Below are 21,782 nucleotides of genomic sequence, written 5' to 3' on the forward strand. Positions count from 1 at the left end.
TGGGCATTGTGCCTATAAACTTTGTGTAAAGCATCAGTGATTTCACCATTCTTCCACCCAAACTTCACCATAAGTTTGATGTTTCTTCTTGCTTCAATTTTAGCAGGATTCATGTTTCTCTAATAGGCGGTCTTTTCAAACTGATGTTTTATCCTTCTTAGAGACTCAACCTAGATCCTCTTCAGACATGCTACAACAAGTTAGTACAAGTTTATTTGGTGCAAAAAAAAAATGGAAATCCATGCATAGTTGTTAAATAATATGCATTTTTCATGAACTTTTTGAAAACCCATTGTATACTTAAGCTGTTCCACATGGAAAAGCTTCCATGATCAAACGCGGTAGGGCAGCATCTCAAACATTTTGTTCTAAGGATTTCTTTTCACTCTTCAAAGTTATTAAGGACCCCAAAGACCATCAGTTTATTTGGGTTATATCTACTAATACGTACTCTATTAGAAATTAAAACTCAGATATTGTAAAGATATTAATTTGTTAAAAAACAAGAGTAATAAACATCTACATGTTAACATAAAAAAAAAACTAGTCAATCGGCGCACATCTTACTATGTCCAAAGATTTATATTTTCCACAATACATATATCATCAGCTACACTATATATATATTATATTTATATATATATATTTTTTTGTTTTTTGTTTTTACGAAGTCTTGCTCTGTCACTAGGCTGGAGTGCAGTGGCGTGATCTCAGTTCACTGCAACCTCCACCTCCCGGGTTCAAGCAATTCTCCTGCCTCAGCCTCCCAAGTAGCTGGGACTATAGGCATGCGCCACCACGCCTGGATAATTTTTTGTATTTTCATAGAGACATGGTTTCACCATGTTGGCCAGGCTGGTCTCGATCTCCTGACCTCATGATCCGCCTGCCTCAGCCTCCCAAAGTGCTGGGATTATAGGCGTGAGCCACCGTGCCCGGCCTACACTATGTATTTTATGTATTTATTTGTTTATTGTTTGTCTCCCTTTCCCAGACAATAGAATATGAACTCCCCAAGGGCAAGGATTTGTGTCTGTTTTATTTACTGCTGCGTCCCTAGCACCTGGAGGCATGTCACACAGCCAGCATGCAATAACTGTGAGGTGAGTTAATCAATGGAAGCACCATGCTGACACGTAATCACAGCAAGAAATTACTGTGCACCAGCACATGCTAGGCTTAGCAATTTGCATGAATTTTCCTGTTTCAATGTTCATAATGGAGCAACACTACAATGCAGGCTCTAACATTATTCCATTTTACAGATAAGGAAACTGCAGCTCAGAAAGGCCATATAACTTGCAGAAACAGTGGCATTGAGGTTTAATCCCAGGTGTTCTGTCTCCTAGGTCTTTAGTTCAGACCAAGCCTCCAAAGCCAGACTCTAGGAAACTTACAAAGACCAATTAGACACAGTCCCTCTTCTGCAAGCAGAATATGCTAGTTGGAGATAAAATCTGGAAATAAGTCAGAACCAACCAAGGCAGTAATGATATGAAGTGTGATGGAGGGTGCAGGAGTGAAAATGGGTGGGCACAAAAGATAAACAGCAAGATGTTTACTAACAGTATTATTGCTAGATAGTGAAAGTATAAATGTTTAATGTTTTTATTTCCTACTTTATCTTATGTTTTCTAATTTTTCCATAGTAAACAAGTATTGATTGTTTGTAATAAGTATTGTGATTATTACAAGTATTGTCATAAGGAAAAAATATATTTATCTTCAGAAATTTTCTCTTAAAAATTTAAAAACAGGCTGGGTGCGGTGGTTTACACCTGTAATCCCAGCACTTTGAGAGGCTGAGAGGGGAGGATTGCTGAAAGCCAACAGATCAAAACTAACCTGGTCAACATAGCAAGACACCATCTATACCAAAGGAAAAAGAAATTACCTGGGCATGGTGGTGCATGCCTGTCAGCTACTTGGGAGGCTGAGGTGGAGGAGTGCTTGAGCCCAGGAATTCAAGGCTGCAGTGAGCCATGATTGTACCATTGCACTGCAGCCTGGGTGACAGGAAGACCCTGTCTTGAAAAAAAAAAAAAAAAAAAAAGGTTTAAAAATACATTTTCTGCTGGGTGCGGTGGCTCACACCTGTAATAACAGCACTTTAAGAGGCTGAGGTGGACGGATCGCGAGGTCAGGAGATCGAGACCAGCCTGGCCAACATGGTGAAACTGTCTCTACTAACAATACAAAAATTACCTGGGCGTGGTAGCGGGCGCCTATAACCCCAGCTAACTCGGGAAGCTGAGGCAGGAGAATCGCTTGAACTCGGGAGGCAGAGGTTGCAGTGAACCAAGATCGTGCCATTGCACTCCAGCCTGGGTGACAGGGCGAGACTCTGTCTCAAAAAAAAAAAAAATTTATAATGTAAGTATAAGACAAGCTTCTTTCCTATCGTTCCATTTTCCCTCCCTCAAAGTGAACTCTATTACTAGTTTTTGGATAACCTTTCAATGATAGTCTGTGCATAAAAGTCATATACAATGATATCTATTTAAAAAATTTTTTTAAACCACACTAAATTAAACTTTAACCCAAGGGCTGGCTCCTCAGGAAGAAAATGTATCTTGGGTTACTTTTCAACCACCTCCAGCAAGCAGGGCTGGGACTCCGGTGGGGTGAGCAAGGTACTTGGCTTGGACATCAAATTTAAGGGAGGGCCAGAAAACTCAGCACTCATGATAAACTTTATATATATATGTGTGTGTGTGTGTGTGTATATGTATATGTATATATATGTGTATGTGTATGTGTGTGTATGTATGTGTGTGTGTATGTATATATATATGTGTATGTGTGTGTGTGTATATATATGACAGAGTTTTGCTCTGTCACACAGGCTGGAGTGCAGTGGCACGATCTCAGCTCACTGCAGCCTCTGCCTCCCTGGCTCACACGATTCTCCTGCCTCAGCCTCCCCAGTAGATGGGATTACAGGCATGCACCACCACGCCCAGCTAATTTTTGTGTGTGTGTTTTTAGTAGAGACGGGGGTTTCACCATGTTGGCCAGGCCGGTCTCGAACTCCTGACCTCAAGTGATCTGCCCACCTCGGCCTCCCAAAGTGCTGGGATTACAGGTGTGAGGCACCACACCTGGCTCATTAGCTGTTCTTCCTGATCCTCTCCCTCTTCCCACCCCCAACCTTCTGACTGACCCAGCGTGTGTTTTTCCCCACCATGTGCCCATGTGTTCTCATCACTTAGCTCCCAACTATAAGTGAGAACATGCAGTATTTGGTTTTCTGTTCCTGTTAGTTTACTAAGAATAATGGCCTCCAGCTCCAGCCATGTCCCTGCAAAGGACATAATCTTGTTCCTTTTTGTGGTTGCAGAGTATTCCTTGGTGTATATGTACCACATTTTCTTCATCCAGTCTGTCATTGATGGGCATTTAGGTTGATTCCATGTCTTTGCTATTGTGATTAGTGTTGCAATAAGCATATGTGTGCATGTGTCTTTATAATAGAATGATTTATATTCCTTTGGATATATATCCAGTAATGAGATTGCTGGGTTGAATGGTATTTCTGCTTCTAGGTCTCTGAGGAATCGCCACACTGTCTTCCACAATGGTTAAACTAATTTACACTCCCACCAACAGTGTAAAAGCCTACATTTTTCTCCACAACCTCGTCAGCATCTGTTGTTTTTTGACTTTGTAATAATAGGCATTCTGACTGGTGTGAGATGATATCTCATTGTGGTTCTGATTTGCATTTCTCACATCAAAGTTTTTTTTTTTTTTTTTTTAAGACAGAGTTTCACTCTCGTTGCCCAGGCTGGAGTTCAATGGCACGATCTCGGCTCACTGCAACCTCTGCAGTGTGGTAGAACGCAGATGTGGTAGAAATAGCCACCGCATCGGCCCACATCAAAGTTTTAAACAAAGGTAAGACCAGGTTTTTGTTTGTTTGTTTGTTTTTATAAGCAGATCCAGACTCTATGGAGCCTGAAGCTTTTCTAATTATAGGTGATCAGGGAGGGGCAGGGGATGAAGACTTCTTTTAGAAAAAGTTCATAAAATTTCCAGTAAAAATTAGATGTAAGAAGCATTTATTTAGAATAAGAAAATCACATTTAAAGACTGACATATACCACAAACATCACAAAATGTATGAAACATAATTTTTAAATTAATTGCATGACATGTCTTTATAATACATTTTCCTTTATATTTTTGTAGGAAAATTTTGGAAGACCTTTATGAAGTTTCCTTTGTATGTCAGTTATTAAAAAATGTAGTATAGGGGCCGGACATGGTGGCTCACACTGTAATCCCAGCGCTTTGGGAGGCCGAGGCGGGCAGTGGGCCGATCACATGAGGCCAGAGTTCGAGACCAGCCTAGCCAACATCTCTACTTAAAATAGAAAAAAATTAGTCAGGCCTGGTGGCACACGCCTGTTATCCCAGCTACTCGGGAGGCTGTGGCACAAGAATCATTTGAACCCGGGAAGTGGAGGTTACAGTGAGCTGAGATAGTGCTACTGTGCCCCAGCCTGGGTGACAGAGCAAGACTGTTAAAAAATATATATATTTTTTATATATATTGGCATCAAAGATTTCTCTATCAGAGCTGCACCAGAGGACTGCAGGTGGGTCACACTATGTGTATATATATTTTTTTTCCTATTTTATATATCTATATATATCTCTATATATATCTCTCTATATATCTATATGTATATCCTATACTATATAGGATTATAAATACTATATTATATATAGTACATAGTATATATATTTTATATATAGTCTGTATAATATATAATCCTATACATATAGTATAGGATTATGCCAACAAGCACAGAAATCTGATATATTCCACTTTCCATGATCACCATAAAATAAAATGTGACTCTCTATGTGAGCCTCTCCAGAAAGCATCTTAAGACACAACAGCTGGATCCATCAGAATGTCAGCAAGAGGGAGCGTTGGCAAGAGACCTAATCACAGAAATGACATCCCGTAACTATTCAGTAGGCAGGGGGCTCTAGGCCCCGCCACACCCAGGGGAGTGGGTAATATGGAAGTGAACATCTGGAGGTGGCGTTCTTCTGCGACTGGCTGGCCTTATACCTTCCTGTCATGCTGCTGCTTGGGAGCACAGGGGGCCACAGAAGCCTCTTGGAAGCCATTCTGACACTATTCCAACACCACCAATGCCTCAGCTAGACACACGTGGCTGCAGGTTACCTCTATGTACACCACTAAACTCATCTGCTCCTTATTTGTCCCTAATTCACCTGCCCCCCATCTGGATCCCCAAAACGCACTGGCCACTCCAACAGCCTCTTATACAAGTGGGCTTAACTGAATGCAGTTGAAATACCTTACTTTTGCAAATTCTACAAAAGCATGGCTATGTAAATACATAGAAAAGAGGTCGAAGGGCACTGAAGCTTCAGTAGTTTCACCATAAATTGGCCTCTGAGTGGAAGCCATTATTACTGACTAGGTCAGTCTAGAAAAATGGCAAAAAGTTGGTAAAATTTGTAAATTGCCTCTGACTGGCTAATTTTGATAATGAGATGGGGAGAGAAGCACAGGTACTTTTTTTTTTTTTTTTTTTTTTTTTGGAGTTTGGAGTTTGGAAGAAGTTTATTCCAGTCCTCATGGATGACTTTGAGAGGTTCAAGGCTTCAGTGGAAGAAGTCAATGCAGATAGAAATAGCAGCAAGAGAACTAGAATTCTGAGTACAGCTTGAAGCTATGCTGTGACTGGGTTGTGGCAATTTCATGATAACACTTGAACAAGTGAGGAGTTGCTTTTCTTTCTTTTTTTTTTTTTAATTATACTTTAAGTTCTAGGGTACATGTGCACAACATGCAGGTTTGTTAAATAGGTATATATGGAGAAGCACAAGTAAGGGAAGTGATTAAGGGAAGTGATTTGGAGGAGATTTCTCTAAGGTACTGGCTTTTATATACACGTTGATGGTGGTGATGGTGATGGTGGTCATAATGGTGATACTGTTTTTCTGTGGAGTGCTGATATAGTTTGGCTGTTGTCCCTGCTAAATCTCCTGTTGAATTGTAATCCCTAATGTTGGAGGTGGAGCTTGGTGAGAGGTGATTGGATTATGGGGGTGGATTTCTCATAACTGGTTTAGTGCTCTTCCTTTGGTGCTGTCCTCCCAATAGGGAGTGAATTCTTGCAAGATCTGGGTGTTTAAAAGTGTGTGGCACCTCCCCCCACCCTTGCTCCCTCTCTTGCCATGTGACCTGCTGGTGCCCTTCACCTTCCGCCATGATTGTAGGCTTCCTGAGGCCTCCCCAGAAGCCAAGCAGATGCCAGTGTCATGCTTCCTGTATAGCCTGCAGAACCGTGATCCAGTTCAACCTCTTTTCTTTATAAATTATCCAGTCTCAGATATTTATAGCAATGGAAGAATAGCCTAACACAAGCACTTTGCTCAAACAAAATCCTAGGGAATCTCAATGTGCAAAACAGGTAGAAGTATGACTTCTCAGCTAAATTTGGAGCAGAGGGACTGGAGCTCACATTAGCCCAAGGGATTCCTAGGGGAAGCTCTGCAGAAAACACCATCTTAAGGGGGATAGAGGAGAGGAGGATGGACATATGGTCAGTGTCAGATTATGTTGGGGTGAGGAATTCACACTATACTTGGTAGGTGGATATAGTTGGCATCAAAGATTTCTCTATCAGAGCTGCACCAGAGGACTGCAGGTGGGTCACACTGGGGAGGCAACAGCAATCTGGAAAAGGAAGGAATGGACAAGAAGACATTATAATGAAAGGAAGAATGGGCATAGAAATAAGATCAAGTGGCCAAAGGTGGCTAATGAGAGGACAGAAGTCAAATGCTGTAATGAATCCAAATGCTGTTAGAACAATGTTGAGTGCTACATTGCTTTTTAAAAAATTCTTATTATGTTTTAAATTGTGGCAAAATATACATAACATAACATTTATTCATAATTGCTTTTTAAATTTTGCTGTTTTACAAAATGGAAAGATATTTGCACTAAAGAATTCAAACAGTATAAAAGGATCTGGAATGAAAAGTAAGTTTCCCTCCCACTTCATACACCTTAGCTCCTCAGAGGCACCCCCTGCTAACTGGGTTTATGTATTTTTTTTTTTTTTGAAACAGGGTTCTCAGAAAAAACCCGTCACGCAGGCTGGAGTGCAGTGGTGCGATCATGGCTCACTGCAGCCTCATTCTCCTGGGCTCAGGCAATCCTCTCACCTCAGCCTCCTTAGTAGCTGGAACTATAAGTGTGCATCACCACGCCCAGCTAATTTTTCTATTTTTTTGTAGAGACAGGGTTTCACCATGTTGCCCAGGCTGGTCTCAAACTCCTGGGCTCAAGTGATCCACCCGTCTTGGCCTCCGGAAGTGTTGAGATTACAGGTGTGAGCCTCTGCGCCCAGCTATTTTTTTTTTTCCACATAACTATTCTGTACTTTGTTGGTTTTTTGTTTGTTTCCCTTTGAACAAACCAGCCAGAGTAACTTGCATGTGACTGGAAGGAAGGTAGACAGGGAGAAAATAGCCAGGCTGTAGAGTTAGACCTTGAGCCAAATCCTGGCTTTGTTACCAATTCATTGATAGCCTTGGGCACATTTCTTGAGCTCTTGGAGGCTCAATGTATTCTTTCTTTCAAAATTATTATAATAGTGTCTTCCTGTTAGGACACTCTGTGCTGCGAGCAGCAGTAAACTCAACTCCAGCTGGCTGAAACCTAAGGTTGTATTTTTCATCCCACACAATAGGAGGTCTAGCCACAGTGCATCTTTGCTGTCAATGGGGTTGGGATGGTATCACCACCTAAGGAGGGGTGCTTGGGAACAGGGGTGTAGAACTTTCAGTTGTCACAATTCCAAGGGCTGCTAGCAGCATTCTGAGGGTGGGGATCATGGATGTTGGAGATCTTAGAATGTCTGTAGCAGCCCACCCCATCAAGGAACTGTTCTGCTGAAAATGCCGGCTCATTGAGAAGCATCGATCTAGTCACTCAATCACACGATCACGCCAAGGACCTCCGTTCTTCTCTCTTCCATTTCTCATGCTCATGGCCTCACCTCTGACAGTAGCAGGGTGGCTGCAACCACTCAAGGTGATACAATAATGTCCAGGGAACAAGAGAGGCCATATCTTCTACTTTCTCTTGAGAAAAAAGGAAACCTCCCTCAGGAGCTTCCTCGAAGGCTCCCCCTACCACATCTTACTTGCTCCTTCCTGAACCCGTCCTAGGCCGGGGTGCTGCTCTTAAGTCACACAGACGCTATTCTGGAGCAGGTTGGGGTCAGCTTCCCCTGAGCCAGGGGCTGTGTGTGGGACAGTGGGGATACCCATTAGGGCAGGTCAGCCACGCCGTCTACTCCACCACCTCACTAGGTTCCTATAAGGATTACGGAAGACATGGTCTCTGTCATACAGTGAGAACGCAAAGTTCTTCCCTCAAAGAAAACTGTCACACGCGGTCATTTCCCTAACCTTTTAGTTCTGCCTCACGTAGAAAAAGTGGGCAGGCTCTGTGGACAGGGAAGTTGAGAAGGTGAATGAAGGGCGTTCCTCCCAGAAGCTGAAAGACGCTGGGGACAGGACCTGCTCCGGGTGATGATGTGGAAGTGGGAGGTCGCCATCAGTCCTGGACTCCCAGTGGTTTTTTCTGTTCATCAGTTAGAATCCTGTCACGTGTATCAAGAGCTGACATTTTTACATATTTGTGTTTACCATGATGAGTATTTACAGTCATCCAAAGTTAAATTTTAAAAAACTATGAAATATTAAGTGAAATGACTTAAAAGGGGTGTAAGATCTACCTGAGAATAAAAACTTGACACTAAAACTTGAAGAATTAATAGATAGAAAGTCAACTATATTCTATTGGTCCCTTTAGAATTTAAAGGGTTTTTTATCTTTAATTTTTATTTGGTGGAAATATTCTAAGAATTTTATTACTGAAAACAGCATGTAAAATAAATGATTATACAACTAATGGAATCACATAAATAGAAGCAAAATTGAGTTAAAACTGATTCTTTAGAAGCAAAATCCATTTAGGGTTCTTCTTCTAAAATATGAAGGATGATTCTACAACTTTCCTCAGTAATCTTAACAAATTTTTATTGCTTGTATGTTAAGAATAATTGCAGAATGTAAAGTTTACATAATTGTTACTTTCAGAAACATTTTGGGGTTCATCCTCAGGCCAGTCAGTCCTGACCTACAAGTTACAATGAGACAAGATTATGCAAATCATGTTAAAGTCTTAATCAAGTAAACATAAGTAAAGCACATTGAAATGGAGAAGCCGAAGAGATTAAGAATTTTAAAAACATATAAAAAGCCTTAAATCTTTCCTATTTTCTCCTCATCCCCTTGGCTGTAAGAAGGTGGGATGGCCCCTTTCAGCTGGGTACTTTTTTTTTTTTTTAATCAAAAGCAACATGACCTGTCTCAAGTGGAATTCCAGAGAGGGCTGCAATGGGGCTCAGACAGTGGACTGTGCCAGCGTGCTTCATCTCAAATCCTGGCTCAGCAGTTTGCTACCTGGGTAACAAGAGCTATTCATTTAACCTCTTTCAGCCTCTAAGACCTGTTGTTGGGTATAATCATCATCCTCATCCCATAGGGCTGTATGAGGACGATAAATGATGTAAGCAGTGTTTAGTACACGGTGACCAGTAGGTGTCAGCTGTACTAGATGTCATTCTAGTCCTGGCTCTTCTAGATTGGCTAAATGGCTTCGGTTAAACACATTATTTAAATCTCCCTGGCTTTATATTCTGAGCCCTTAAAGTTCCTCAATTCTATTAGAAGGCACACATATGAGAAAACAAATGATCCAGGCAAGAAGGGTCATGTTTTTTTCAAATTCATTGCAAGTGTATTCCCTTGCCATATTTCAGTTTGTGTTGATAAATGGGGCCTAAGGTGCTATAGAACTTGATCCCTTCAAGTTATAAGGGCATTTTTCTTGAAAGTTTCCACTGCTGCAGTTAAGCCCCTGAAAAATCACTGTGGCTTTAGCTTAAGCAAGCTAATCTCTTTCAAAAGCCAAGGAAGAGTTAGGAAAATTATTTCTAAAATGCTTTTGCTCTTTTAAAATACTTAAAATTTTTAAATATTTAAAAATACTTTGGCATATTATATATGGTGTAGGAGAGGAAAGGCTTTTCCTCTATCCTCTTGGGTTCTATGGCTGGGCCTGAGAATTAAACTCACAAAGGCAGCTAACCAGGAGAAAAGCACACAAATTTTACTTAATACGAATATTTCTATGTGTACACAAAACCCTTCCTATGTAAGAAATAAAAACCCAAAGAAGTGGATAGGTCTGAGAGCTTACACACCCTTTTAACAAAGAATTGTGGAGATGTAATAAAACAAAGGAAAAAGGGGTTTGGGCTGGGATCAGTAAACTGTCAGAAAGTAACTAGGAAATATATGGAGGAAACTAATGAAAGACAAAGGTTAATTTAGTAGGTTTGTTTACACAGATTCATCTCTGCATAGACTTCCCATCTCTAATGATAAGAATATTCTCTTCTTGGTGCAAGGAAGGCATCTTTCTTATAGAATATTTATGTCCTGCTTTTAGGTAGAAAGGGGAAGTCTGAGAGGTCTTCCAGCATCTTCTCAATTGCTTCCAGCTCAAAATAATCAACGTGCCAAAATGGCATATTTTGGGGTCACGTGTTCTGATCCCCTTCAATTCCCTATCTGAAACTTCATAGGAAGCGTCACATATTAAAAGCTGACTTGGTGGATGTGAAGAGAAAAATGGAATCAGTAGCTGAGTGGTAAGAGATTTGCAAAAGGAGAGAAGAAGATGGATTAGAACAAGAATAAACAAACAGAACAACTACAACAACAAAACTAAACATACTTCTCCTTATACCATTAAACCAGTCTCCCTATCCTGGGAATAGGCCAGTCCAATCAAATGGTTGAGACTCATTGATCTGATGGAGTGTTAACTTTGTTTTTAAAGGTACGAATTAAACACCATTTGTCCTATCTGATTCACAAGGAAGCAGAATTTTTCACCAATGATTGTGCAAGCTCCTCCTTGTTGGGCAGTGTATCCAGGGCACAACTATTTTGGAGTACAACAGTGGCTAAACTATTCATTTCTGACTGGAATACTTCCAATGTTTGCATAGTGGTATTGAACTCTGGTTCTATTACCATGGGAATATTTAGGATCACCTTTTCCAAGCCATGAATTCTAAAACTTGGAAATCAGGTCCTCGACATTGAAAAGAACTTGGAGTGAGGATATAGTGGGTATTCTATGACATCTCATCTGGTATGTTTATGTGGCACTACTATATGAATGAAGGAGCCCAAGTTTGTAATTTGGCTAGTATTCAAGGTGGAGTACATGGTGATGGAAGGTCCCAGATATCTGAGTCCAAACTGTCCTGACCTTTTAAGTGAAAACCCTTTACATGCCTTGTTGCCACATAAAATAAAAAGAGAAAAAAAGACCAGTGCTGTTCATGGTCAAAGTCAGAGTGGAACCTGCAATTCTCCAGATCTAATGTGTTTCATGACCCTTGTCATTGGTCATACTGGGATCTGCATACCTCCATGTGCCCCTGGAAGAGCAGAACTGTTTGCCAAATATCTAATACAGGAGGCCTGCAATCTGGGTCTGGAAGCTGTAAGGCCTGGTTTTGTTACTTGGCCAAGTTATTCCAGGTTTTTGGTCTACTCATTCATAATTTTTGGTGTCGAGCATCCGAACCGGGAGCACCTGAACTATCTCGGGCTGTGCAAGTGTGGCCTGGGAAACAGCTGAAACATTTGGTAATTTGGCAAATATTTATGCTTAAAAGGCAGTGCCGGAACCAATTATGACTTCCTTGAGGGGTTTGAGAATGCTACCTATGGAATCCGACTACAGGGTTTGAGTGTAACATTGCCTTGGTATATCTAGGAAGGGTCCAGGACCATTTCTGTTTTCAATGCAAAGGGGAAAATTCCTTTCCAATGACTTCAACTGAATTGTTTGACATTTCCCAGCCCAGACTCCAGACCTGGTGATCAGATGATCCCAGCCCCAGCCTTCAAACCACTGCAAATAGAGAAGAGACAAGCTATCCCTGAGAGAGCCCTGCCCAATCTACAGATTAATAAAGAAAATAAATACTGTTATTATTTTTAAAAACAGCCCTGTTTGGGGTGGCTTGTTATGCAGCAATAGGTAACACGAACAAACGGTAAAGCTTGGAGCCTCTGAATGCCCGGAGTAAATATTTTAGCAGTGGAGGCACATGATGTTTGAAGTAGGACTGAACACACTTGGGCGGGGGGGGGGGGGGGGTAGACTGCACAGTCTAAATTTCAAGAAGTTAGTTTACATGTTAACATCATTTAACTATTAACTTCAGGGCTTTGCATCTCAGAGTAGAGAAGACCTGGGCCCTGTCTCCGGGAGAAAGCTTAGGGGACAGTGAGCTTGGAAAAGCAGTCCATCCCCACCATCCATTGTGCCAGAGTGGAGGAGTGGTGTGGGAGCCAGAGATCACCCATTGTTTCTGCACCTTTCAGGAGGCAAGGGGGAGGACCCGAAGTCCCCATGGGCTGCAAGGTGGGTGCACACCGTTTCTGCTTCTGAAGTCCTTCCTTGGCTTCTGAGAACAACCCTCTTCCATTCCCTCCAACCCTTCTGGCTGTTCATTCTCTATCCCTGTTGCAGGCTCATCCTCCTCCTCCTGACCTGGGAACATCAGGGCTGCTCAAAGCTCAGTCCTGGGCCCTCTTCCCTTCTCAGCTTTAGACCTCCTGTAGTATAATAAAAATAGACATTTGGTCTTTGTCCTTGGTTCCTGAAATAGAAAGGCTAAAACTCTTGGAATTTTCTGATAGAACATTTGTTATTACTTACATTGTTAGTGTTATTTTGTTGTAACATAATTGTTTTTTATAAAGAGTCCCTTTTGATCACACCTGAATTTATGCTAATGAGATGACTGAGAGTGGGCTCTCTAGACAGCCTCAAGATGGGCTGGGTACCAGAAACACCAAGTGATTAGAGGACTGGAACTTTTAACTCCACCCACTGACCTCCAGAAAGGGGCAGGGGCTGCAGACTGAGCAAGGCTGGTGGGGCTTCTGGGTGGGGAGCATGTGGAGACCCTGGAGGCTGGTGCACCCAGAGGGGCCCTGGAAGTCCCATGCCCATCGCACACTCTGTCTTCTATCTCTTCCCTTTGCCAGTTCCTGAGTTTTCTTCTTTATAATAAACTGGTGAACTCAAGCAAAGTGTTTTCCTGAGTTCCGTGAGTCATATGGAAGCTGGGGATGGGTTGTGGGAACACTAATTTGTAGCTGGAGGGGCAGAAATGCAGGCAGCCTGGGCACCCCGTTTGCAAGTGGCTTCTGAAGTGGGGGCCGTCTTGTGGGACTGAGCCTCTAAGCTGTGGAGACAGACACTAGCTCCAGGTAGATAATGTCAGAATTGAATTATTGGACACCCTGTTGGAGAACTGGTGTTAGACACCACTTGGTGTTGGTAAGAACCAGAGAAGCTCAACCTGGTCAAAACAGAATTCATGATCTTGCCCTCCCTCTATTCCTCTTCTGGGGGTCCCTGCCCCAGTGACTGCTACTGTCTACCCAACAGCTCAAGTCCAAATCCTAAGGCACCTCCCTCCCCCTGCCTCCCTGCACCTACCCCCACTTGGGGCCATAAGTGTGCTACATTGATTTTCACTCCTAAATAGCGCTCAGATTTGTCCACCCCACAACCATCATCTCTTAAGTATGATCACCCTTCACCACAACAATGGCAACAGCCTCCTATGGGGCTCACTCACATTGTTTCTGTCCCCAGTAATTTGCTCTTTGTCCTGTATCCAGAATGATCTTTTCAAAATTTAAATCTGGTTAGTCACATTCATGACTCAAAACCTTTTGACGGCCTCTCATTGCTCAAGGTTGAGTGGCTGTCCCCTCCCATCCTCAGCTCCGCCAGTTCCTCTGTGCTCTCTGCCCTCAGGCCACCCTGGCCTTCTTCCAGTCCAGCCCCCTGACACTCCCTCCAACAGAGCCTCTGCGTGGCCCAGCACGTTCTTCCTTGCAGTCCGAGCTGTTCCTTCCACCTCACCTTCCTCACAGGCCTCCTGACCAGGTCAGATACCACCTTCTCAGCATTGGCCACAGGGGCTGAGTTTGTATAGTGTTGGCCCCTCCCACGCACTGAGAGCTCCCCGGGGGTGGGACCTCTAGCATTTCCACCGCACAGAGGAGGGTGGGCCGGGGCTGGGACCAGTGCACCTGCATGACCCTGAGAGTGATGCCTCCTTAAATTCTATGCCCCAGCACCTCCCTCACCTCCTTCTCTGTCCTGGAGTGAGCATGTGCCCCCGTGAGGGTTGTAGCCCAAAGGGTCGCCACCACCTCAAAATCTCTTTGAAGTCTTATTTTATCTTTAAAATAGCTTGTGAATTTTGTATTTAACTCCATAATGTAGCAATGTGTATTTAAATGTAAAAGCAATGTCCTTCCCGAAATCAGAGTTGCTGCAGGAAGACAGGCCGTGTGCGCCTGGGGCCTCTTGGAGATGCCATGCCCAAGTCAAGACACAGTCATGGAATTCCACACTGGGCATAAAATGACCAGCAAGAGTCCAGCAAGGGGACCGGCAGGGCCCCCTTTACAGGACATCACTCCCAGCCCAGGCTTAGTAGTGATGGGGGAAATGTTTCCTCTAAGCTGCCTGGCTTCAAATCCCATGAAAGCCACCCTGTGGGGCCTTGGCGATGAGAAATCTTTCTGCAGTGTTGTGTCCTATATGTAGGCAGGAATGATGTGATTCCTATTTCATGGACAGGACATCCTGTAGGTGCTCAGTCAATCAATGTAAGCTCTTAACACGCTCCTCACCCACCATCTCTTTTGCCTGCCCTCTGCCAACATGGCTAAAACCCTGGCCCCTTTCAGTTCTGCCAAACCATGACATGTTTTAGTTATGAAGCCCCAATTAATTACGTTTCTTAATTAGTGGTTCTGTTTCTAGAATCCCCAACTTTCTATATAAGTAACTGAATACACATCCACATAGGTTTAAATACGGTCCCCAGAGCCCAGCATCAGCATCCCCTTGTTAGAAATACTTCCAGGCCCCAGCCCAAGCCCACTGAGTCACAAACGCTAGGGAGCTGGGAGCAGTGGGGGGCGCCTGTAATCCCAGCTACCTTAGAGGCTGAGGCGGGAGGACTGCTTGAGGCCGGGAATTTGAGACCAACCTGGGCAGCATAGCAAGACCCCTATCTCGAAAAAGTTAGAAAGAAGGAAACTCTGGGAGTGGGGCCCTGTGATGTGACAACGGGCCCCCGAGTGATGTCCGTGCATGCTGAAGTAGAATCACTGACTTAGATGGCCCTCAGGGTGGCCTTAAAACCAAAACAAGAAAAACACCACTTTTAGACGTTCCCCCAATCCCTAGGTACCACGACGCGCTTCCCCACCCCTCCCCGGCCTCAGGTTCGGGCCTTGGCCCCTGGCAAGGCCGGAGCAGCAGGGCGGTGACAGCGCAGTCCGGCGCGGGCCACGCCCCCACTCCCGGTGGGCGGGGAGGGTGCTTGGGGCGCTGGCGTCCGGTTGCGGTGGGAGGTGGTGCGTGCCGCGTGGGCGCCGGCCCCACGGGGCCCCCTCTCCGCCCTCCCTGCGGGATCCCGGGGCGCGGACTCGCGGGCGCGTCGGGCGGGACAGGGGGAGGGGCGGGACGTGCTCCCGGGCCTGGCGCGAATGGCCTCCGGCCGCTCTCGGCTGCGGGCCATGGCCGCTCCCCGGCGCGTCCCCACACGGTCCCCGCCCCAGTCTGGCCGCAGCCCACCCCGCGCCGCCACTGGGCAGATGGGGGCGGCGGCTCCTGCCTCCCGGCTTTCGGAAGAGCAGAGCGGAGCGCGCCTGACCGAGTCAGGCTTCCGAGTGGGATTGGAACCCGGGGCGCCCTGAAGTTTGGGGAAAGCAGGAGCAGAAGGGAAGGGATGCGCTCCCCGCTCTCCGGCGGCGCGGAATGGGCCTCCTTCCAGCCTCTGCGTAGGCAAGATTTCCCCAGTTGCGCGCTGCACCGGGGACTCCCCAGCCCGTGAGGCAGCCAAGAGGAGAGCGCTCAGTGACCCTCTGGGGGCAGAGCCGTCAGGCCAAGTTCATGGGCAGGAAGACTTTGTGCACGTGGGGGTCTCTGAAGGTTGAGCGCGAGCTCTGCACCCCCACTTCGAGGCACTCAAGAAGCGGAACAGACGCGAGCCCCGCCGGGGGTGCGGGTGAGGGCTGCAGGGAGCCCGCGAACGACAGAAAGTCGCCCCCCGCATTCCACCGGAGCACTCGGGAACACGGCTTCCAGGTGTCCCAGCGGCCGCGCCTCCCCGCCCCCGGCCCTCCCCCGTCGCGGGCAGGTTCAACCGGGAGGCGGCGTGGCCCCGGAGCCGGCCCCAGGCCCGCATCCTCCTCCCACTTCGCCCTGGGCAGCCGCAGCTAAAAGCCGGAGGCTCCAAAGTGGAACTACGTTGTCTTGTCGAGCCTGGGGCGACTCGCCTCGGGGAGGGCGAGCCTGAACTGCAGCCCTGCGCTCCTTCCACGGCCCGAGGAGTTAGTTAAGTCTCCAGAGGGGCCCGGTTCGGCCCGAGCAAGTCCAGGGGCGAACGGCGTCATGGAGCCCATAGGGGCGCGGCTAAGTTTGGAGGCGCCGGGACCAGCGCCCTTCCGAGAGGCCCCGCCGGCCGAGGAGCTGCCCGCCCCGGTGGTCCCCTGTGTGCAGGGTGGCGGCGACGGCGGTGGCGCTTCGGAGACCCCGAGTCCTGACGCTCAGCTAGGGGATAGGCCCCTGTCCCCGAAGGAAGAGGCCGCCCCCCAGGAGCAGGAGGAGCTGCTGGAATGCCGCCGCCGCTGCCGCGCGCGCTCCTTTTCCTTGCCCGCCGACCCCATCTTGCAGGCGGCCAAGTTCCTGCAGCAGCAGCAGCAACAGGCGGTGGCACTGGGCGGCGAGGGGGCGGAGGACGCACAGCTCGGCCCGGGCGGCTGCTGCGCCAAGTGCAAGAAGCGGGTGCAGTTCGCGGACACGCTGGGGCTAAGCCTGGCCAGCGTGAAGCACTTCAGCGAGGCGGAGGAGCCGCAGGTGCCGCCCGCCGTGCTCTCGCGCCTCCGAAGCTTCCCTATGCGTGCCGAGGACCTGGAGCAGCTCGGGGGGCTGCTGGCCGCGGCGGCAGTGGCCGCGCCCCTTTCAGCGCCGCCTTCCCGGCTCCGGCCGCTCTTCCAGCTCCCGGGGCCGAGCGCCGCGGCCGAGCGTCTGCAGCGGCAGCGCGTGTGCCTGGAGCGCGTGCAGTGCTCGACGGCCTCGGGCGCTGAGGTGAAGGGCTCCGGCCGGGTGCTCAGCTGCCCTGGGCCCAGGGCCGTGACCGTGCGCTACACCTTTACCGAGTGGCGCTCCTTCCTGGACGTGCCGGCTGAGCTGCAGCCCGAGCCGCTGGAGCCACAGCAGCCAGAGGCACCGTCTGGGGCCTCCGAGCCAGGGTCCGGGGATGCCAAGAAAGAGCCAGGCGCCGAGTGCTTCCACTTCTCGCTGTGCCTGCCCCCGGGCCTGCAGCCTGAGGACGAAGAGGACGCCGACGAGCGCGGCGTCGCGGTCCACTTCGCTGTCTGCTACCGCTGCGCGCAGGGCGAGTACTGGGACAACAACGCGGGCGCCAACTACACGCTGCGCTACGCGCGCCCTGCGGACGCGCTCTGAGCCTGGAGAGTTTCGAAGAGCCGTGGGGCGGGGTTGATTAGCACGTGGAGCTCGGGCTGCCGCCTCAAGGAACTTGCTGGGACGCTTTGCTGAGCGTGGCGAGTCTGGCGTGAGGGGCGCGTGGAGGGAAAGGAGGGAGACTTTGAACCGTCGACTCGCACCCCCGCAGACAAGTGAGCGAGCTTAGAGAGCCCGGGCAATGCTCCGAAAGCCTCTGACCTCAGTCTTCTCGTCCGTTTGACCTTCCTACAAGGCCTCTAGAATTCCCAGCCTGCGTCAGAATAGGAAGAAACTTCCAAGGCCCGGAGCAGCTGCCTCCAAGAAAAAGGCTCCCAACTCCCGGGCATGGTTCTAAGGCCTTGGGATTGGTTTTTAACTCTAAATATCATATTGTAGCCCTTGCAGTTTGCTGGAGACCCCTAGGGAAAGAACAAAGCGTCCTGCCACGGTGCACCAGAGGAAGGTGCCACGGACTGTGGGTGCACGCGTGGGACCTTTACACCCCAACCTATTTCTCAGAGAAAACCCTTCGGGGCTGGGCCAGGCCACCCTTTTCTTTTGACTGAGATGTGGGTAATGTGTGCCCAGACTTGACGTTGTTTATTGTGCGACATTGTGTACAAATGTCCTTTATAAAAGTAAAGGCCACTCGCACCCCCTTTTACGCTGTACTCTGAATTTTGGCTTTCGTGAGTTTGGGGAGGCATTGGCAGTCGGCCGATCTTTGTCAGCTGATGATGTGCGCACTTTAACAATCCTTAAACAACAGCCTACAAATTCCTCCCCTTCGTTCCTTCCTCTCTACTGCGAAAGGGCCCAAACTTCCCATGTGCTTTAAAATGTTCTGTAGAAAGTGTTCCGTCCCCCTCCGAATTAAGACGTTTGGTGAATTGAAATGCCAGTCCTCGGGCAGGCCCTGGCTGTGATCTGCGAGAGCCGGGCACGCACGCCCCGGCGCCCTTTGTGTAGGCAGAGCACACTGTTAGGAGACTTGCCGGGCCATTAGCAGTCAGAGAAGCTGGGCCCTTTTAGTCGCTGGACTGCCAGCGCAGGGGATGGGGGATGGGAAAGTGGCTTTCTGTTCCTCTCAGAGCCACAGTGGGGAGTGGTGACTTGATGGAAGAGGAGGCATGCCCAGCGAGTCAGTGCTGCGCAGACGCAGATGGCCACCTCTGCAGGCCCGTTGGGTGGGGTATGGACGGCCTTGGTCGCTGTGCTGGCTGTGGATGCCAGGATGATGTGGCCCTCTGTGCATGGGTGGGCAGGAGGGCATCCCGAGTAAGGTCTGTCGCCCCTTGACTCTGCCTCAGTGATTTCCCTTTTTTTAAGTCTTCCCATTTTCCAGCACATGGCGAGTACAGTCAGTCGTTTTAGGGATGGTAGTCTCTAAGGAGGGACAGTTTCACTGTTGCTTGATAGAACAGGGCTGGGCATACGTACATTTGGCCCATGGGCCAAATTTGGCACACAGCTTATTCTTGTAGGGCCTGTGACCTAAGAATAGTTTTTACATTTTTATTTTTAATTTAATTTTCTTATTATTATTTTTCGAGACGGAGTTTCACTCTTGTCGCCCAGGCTGGAGTGCAATGTGCGATCTTGGCTCATTGCAACCTCCGCCTCCCAGGTTCAAGCGATTCTCCTGCCTCAGCCTCCAGAGTAGTTGGGAGTACAGGCATCTGCCACCACACCTGGCTAATTTTTGTATTTTTGGTAGAGACAGGGTTTCACCATGTTGGCCAGGCTAGTCTTGAACTCCTGACCTCAGGTGATCCACCCGCCTTGGCCTCCCAAAGTGCTAGGATTATAGGCGTGAGCCACCTCACCTGGCCTTACATTTTTAAATTGTTGAAAAAAATTCAAAAGAAAGTACTATTTGGTGGCACGTGAGAATTATATAAAATATATATTTCAGTGTTCACAAATCAGGTTTTACTGGAACACAGCCGTGCACACTCATTTCTGTCTTCTCTGTGCTGCTTCCATGCTACCGCAGCAGAGTGGAGTAGACACAGCAGAGACCAGATGGCAAAGTGTAAAATATTTACTATCTGGCCCTTTTACAAAAGGCTGGCCAACCCCTGCTCTAGGGAAGTAGTGTTTTTTAAACACAATATGCTGACAATTATAGTTAATAAAGCATTTAGACTTTAGTGAGCTTTTGCCACTTGAAATAAACCCCCTTTGGGTAAAGGTAAAGCTTTATATGACTCTCAGTAATCTTGTTTAGAATAAACACGAAAATGTGAAAAGTGCGGTTATCATTGTGTCAGGCAGGGGAATCTACCTGTTGCCTTCTTTCACCTAAAAAAATAGTAACACATCAGTGCAACTGAAACATAGCACCCGTTTGAATTGGCTTCAAACTACAAAGCTGCCAGATATTTCTCTGTGCTTCAAAATGTGGCATCTTACACAATGGAAGTATTTAGTTTGAACTTTGGGTTGGAGATATCCCTTTGACTATGGCAGTGTTTCCCAAAGTAAACTGATCATAGGAAAAAAATAATTTATTGACAGCAAGCCATCAGGAGTTAACATATTACAATTTAGACTTTTAAAAATGGTCAATGGTCATATCAATGAACTAATGAATACTTAATTCATATATGCTTATAAAAACTTTGACGAAAAATAAATGATAAAATGAAACAATTTTTCTGTTACTAAATATAAAAGCTATGAAGCCTTCTGATGCATCATCAGGTAATCTTGGTCTGATATACCATTTCTTAAAAGTACATTATTGCATAACCATATTTTTCCGATATATTTATAAATACATTAATTTTTAAGATATTGACAGTATACATATGCTATAACATTGTTTGAAAATGCTTGTTTGTGGGGCAATAAAGCAACATTTTGAATTGTTTTGAATTACTTAAAATTAAATGAGGAGCCCAATATAATGATTCAAACAGAGATCTTTGTGTCTAGTATCCTTTAAAATGGTAACCCATTAAATCTGGACTCAAACAAGAGAAATAGATTTTTAGTGGTATGTACAGAAGACTTTCTATTCTGTCATAACACCATTACTGATTTTCAAAACTATATTTTAAAGTTCAAATGATTCATTTTAAAAGAAACTATTTCATAATATAATGAGCATCCAGTATGGCTGCTAGGAAAGGAAACCTAGTTTTGCTCTCCTCCCAGTCTCAGAGACTAGTGCGTCAAATGTTCATAATTTGGTAAAATATTTTAAACAGCCCAGTATTTCACCAATGTGTGTAGCCTTTCCAAAGCATTAGCACTGGCAATCTTTTGAATGTCCATTTTGTTTTATAAAAGTGCCAACTTCTCATTGTAGACTAATAGCAAACATTATGCAGTGAAATGTAAAGGTAATAAAAATAGGTTTTCTTTGTTTTTGAAAAGTTATTTCAAAGGAAAGGGCAATACGACCAGAGTGAGGAAGTATTTAAGAGTGTATTTCCTGAAAGGAAGACACACACACACACACACACACACACCACACACACACCACAAACAAAATCCCTGCAATGCAGTCAGTGCTTTTTTGCAGCAATATTTGCTTCAACTTGAGTAAGTGAAGGTCATTCTCCTTAAAAATGCAATAACTTTAACACGTTACCTAGCACTAGTGATAAAAACTAAGTTCTCAGCTGAGTTAATGACCCTGTCCTCCACCAGAGAGGGAGTCTAGTTTCTTCCTTATTGGCAAGTGTGTCCATGGATCACTGGGTGAGGGAATGTTGGATGAAATGTGTCCCTATCTAGAGCTTCAGAAACATGGGCTGGGAATGTGGCAGTTTGTATGAAACAATATTCTCCCCGGGAAGCTTCCGGTTTATGAAGCAAGGTGGTCAGCCAGTTCCAAGACTTAACTAGGGAGGGTAGGATCCTGCTCCAGGAAGTGTACGGTGGACTCTGGAAACCCACTGAGCTCTGGAGACACTGGAAGTCTCTGTCCAGGGCAGCAAGAGCCACGGCTCAGGCAGCCTTTCAGGAGCAACTGGGAATGGGGGTAGTTGCTGTTATCCACAAACCTCAGCTGTAGGGGCAGGGGATTTTCTCCTCTCAGGTGTGC

General features: G+C 46.4%; 2 protein-coding genes and 1 long non-coding RNA gene across 6 annotated transcripts in view, besides 9 other annotated features; 2 read left to right on the forward strand and 1 right to left on the reverse strand.

The window, feature by feature from the left end:
- The window catches only part of LYRM4-AS1 (LYRM4 antisense RNA 1), a 236,681-nt gene that overhangs the window by 65,022 nt on the left and 149,877 nt on the right, over positions 1-21,782 (forward strand). The window contains exon 3 of the long non-coding RNA NR_126015.1: positions 3,762-3,897. This is a non-coding gene — a long non-coding RNA (LYRM4 antisense RNA 1). The remainder of the gene's footprint in view (positions 1-3,761; positions 3,898-21,782) is intronic.
- LYRM4 (LYR motif containing 4) overlaps positions 1-21,782 on the reverse strand; it is a 229,198-nt gene that overhangs the window by 37,085 nt on the left and 170,331 nt on the right. Inside the window, exon 3 of one of the 4 annotated variants that reach the window (NR_134856.1) lies at positions 6,636-6,727. The exons of the other annotated variants lie outside the window; for them this stretch is intronic. The gene's annotated coding sequence lies outside the window, so the exon portion shown is untranslated. The remainder of the gene's footprint in view (positions 1-6,635; positions 6,728-21,782) is intronic. 4 annotated transcript variants of the gene reach the window in all.
- Positions 9,559-9,748: a silencer, noted in NCBI's record as "silent region_16866". NCBI's record gives its function as "represses an Ori minimal core promoter by ATAC-STARR-seq in GM12878 lymphoblastoid cells {active_cell/tissue: GM12878}" and the evidence as "EXISTENCE:reporter gene assay evidence [ECO:0000049][PMID:35858748]".
- Positions 15,486-15,555: a silencer, noted in NCBI's record as "silent region_16867". NCBI's record gives its function as "represses an Ori minimal core promoter by ATAC-STARR-seq in GM12878 lymphoblastoid cells {active_cell/tissue: GM12878}" and the evidence as "EXISTENCE:reporter gene assay evidence [ECO:0000049][PMID:35858748]".
- Positions 15,586-15,865: a silencer, noted in NCBI's record as "silent region_16868". NCBI's record gives its function as "represses an Ori minimal core promoter by ATAC-STARR-seq in GM12878 lymphoblastoid cells {active_cell/tissue: GM12878}" and the evidence as "EXISTENCE:reporter gene assay evidence [ECO:0000049][PMID:35858748]".
- Positions 16,276-16,455: a silencer, noted in NCBI's record as "silent region_16869". NCBI's record gives its function as "represses an Ori minimal core promoter by ATAC-STARR-seq in GM12878 lymphoblastoid cells {active_cell/tissue: GM12878}" and the evidence as "EXISTENCE:reporter gene assay evidence [ECO:0000049][PMID:35858748]".
- On the forward strand, positions 16,504-20,650 carry PPP1R3G (protein phosphatase 1 regulatory subunit 3G). The gene has a single exon (NM_001145115.3). The coding sequence runs from the start codon at positions 16,649-16,651 to the stop codon at positions 17,723-17,725; it is 1,077 nt and encodes a 358-aa protein (NP_001138587.1). The 5' UTR covers positions 16,504-16,648; the 3' UTR covers positions 17,726-20,650.
- Positions 16,706-16,805: a silencer, noted in NCBI's record as "silent region_16870". NCBI's record gives its function as "represses an Ori minimal core promoter by ATAC-STARR-seq in GM12878 lymphoblastoid cells {active_cell/tissue: GM12878}" and the evidence as "EXISTENCE:reporter gene assay evidence [ECO:0000049][PMID:35858748]".
- Positions 16,706-17,475: a biological region, named in NCBI's record as "H3K27ac-H3K4me1 hESC enhancer GRCh37_chr6:5085857-5086546".
- Positions 16,786-17,475: an enhancer, noted in NCBI's record as "H3K27ac-H3K4me1 hESC enhancer chr6:5085857-5086546 (GRCh37/hg19 assembly coordinates)". NCBI's record gives its function as "activates a minimal SCP1, AML or CMV promoter by ChIP-STARR-seq in primed H9 embryonic stem cells {active_cell/tissue: H9 hESC(primed)}" and the evidence as "EXISTENCE:reporter gene assay evidence [ECO:0000049][PMID:30033119]".
- Positions 16,946-16,995: a silencer, noted in NCBI's record as "silent region_16871". NCBI's record gives its function as "represses an Ori minimal core promoter by ATAC-STARR-seq in GM12878 lymphoblastoid cells {active_cell/tissue: GM12878}" and the evidence as "EXISTENCE:reporter gene assay evidence [ECO:0000049][PMID:35858748]".
- Positions 17,026-17,255: a silencer, noted in NCBI's record as "silent region_16872". NCBI's record gives its function as "represses an Ori minimal core promoter by ATAC-STARR-seq in GM12878 lymphoblastoid cells {active_cell/tissue: GM12878}" and the evidence as "EXISTENCE:reporter gene assay evidence [ECO:0000049][PMID:35858748]".

This window comes from Homo sapiens, chromosome 6, assembly GCF_000001405.40.
Source record: "Homo sapiens chromosome 6, GRCh38.p14 Primary Assembly".
NCBI lineage: Eukaryota > Metazoa > Chordata > Mammalia > Primates > Hominidae > Homo > Homo sapiens.

Coding starts and splice junctions, on each gene's coding strand:
- PPP1R3G (NM_001145115.3), top strand. CDS start 16,649: ATGGAGCCCATAGGGGCGCGGCTAAGTTTGGAGGCGCCGGGACCAGCG.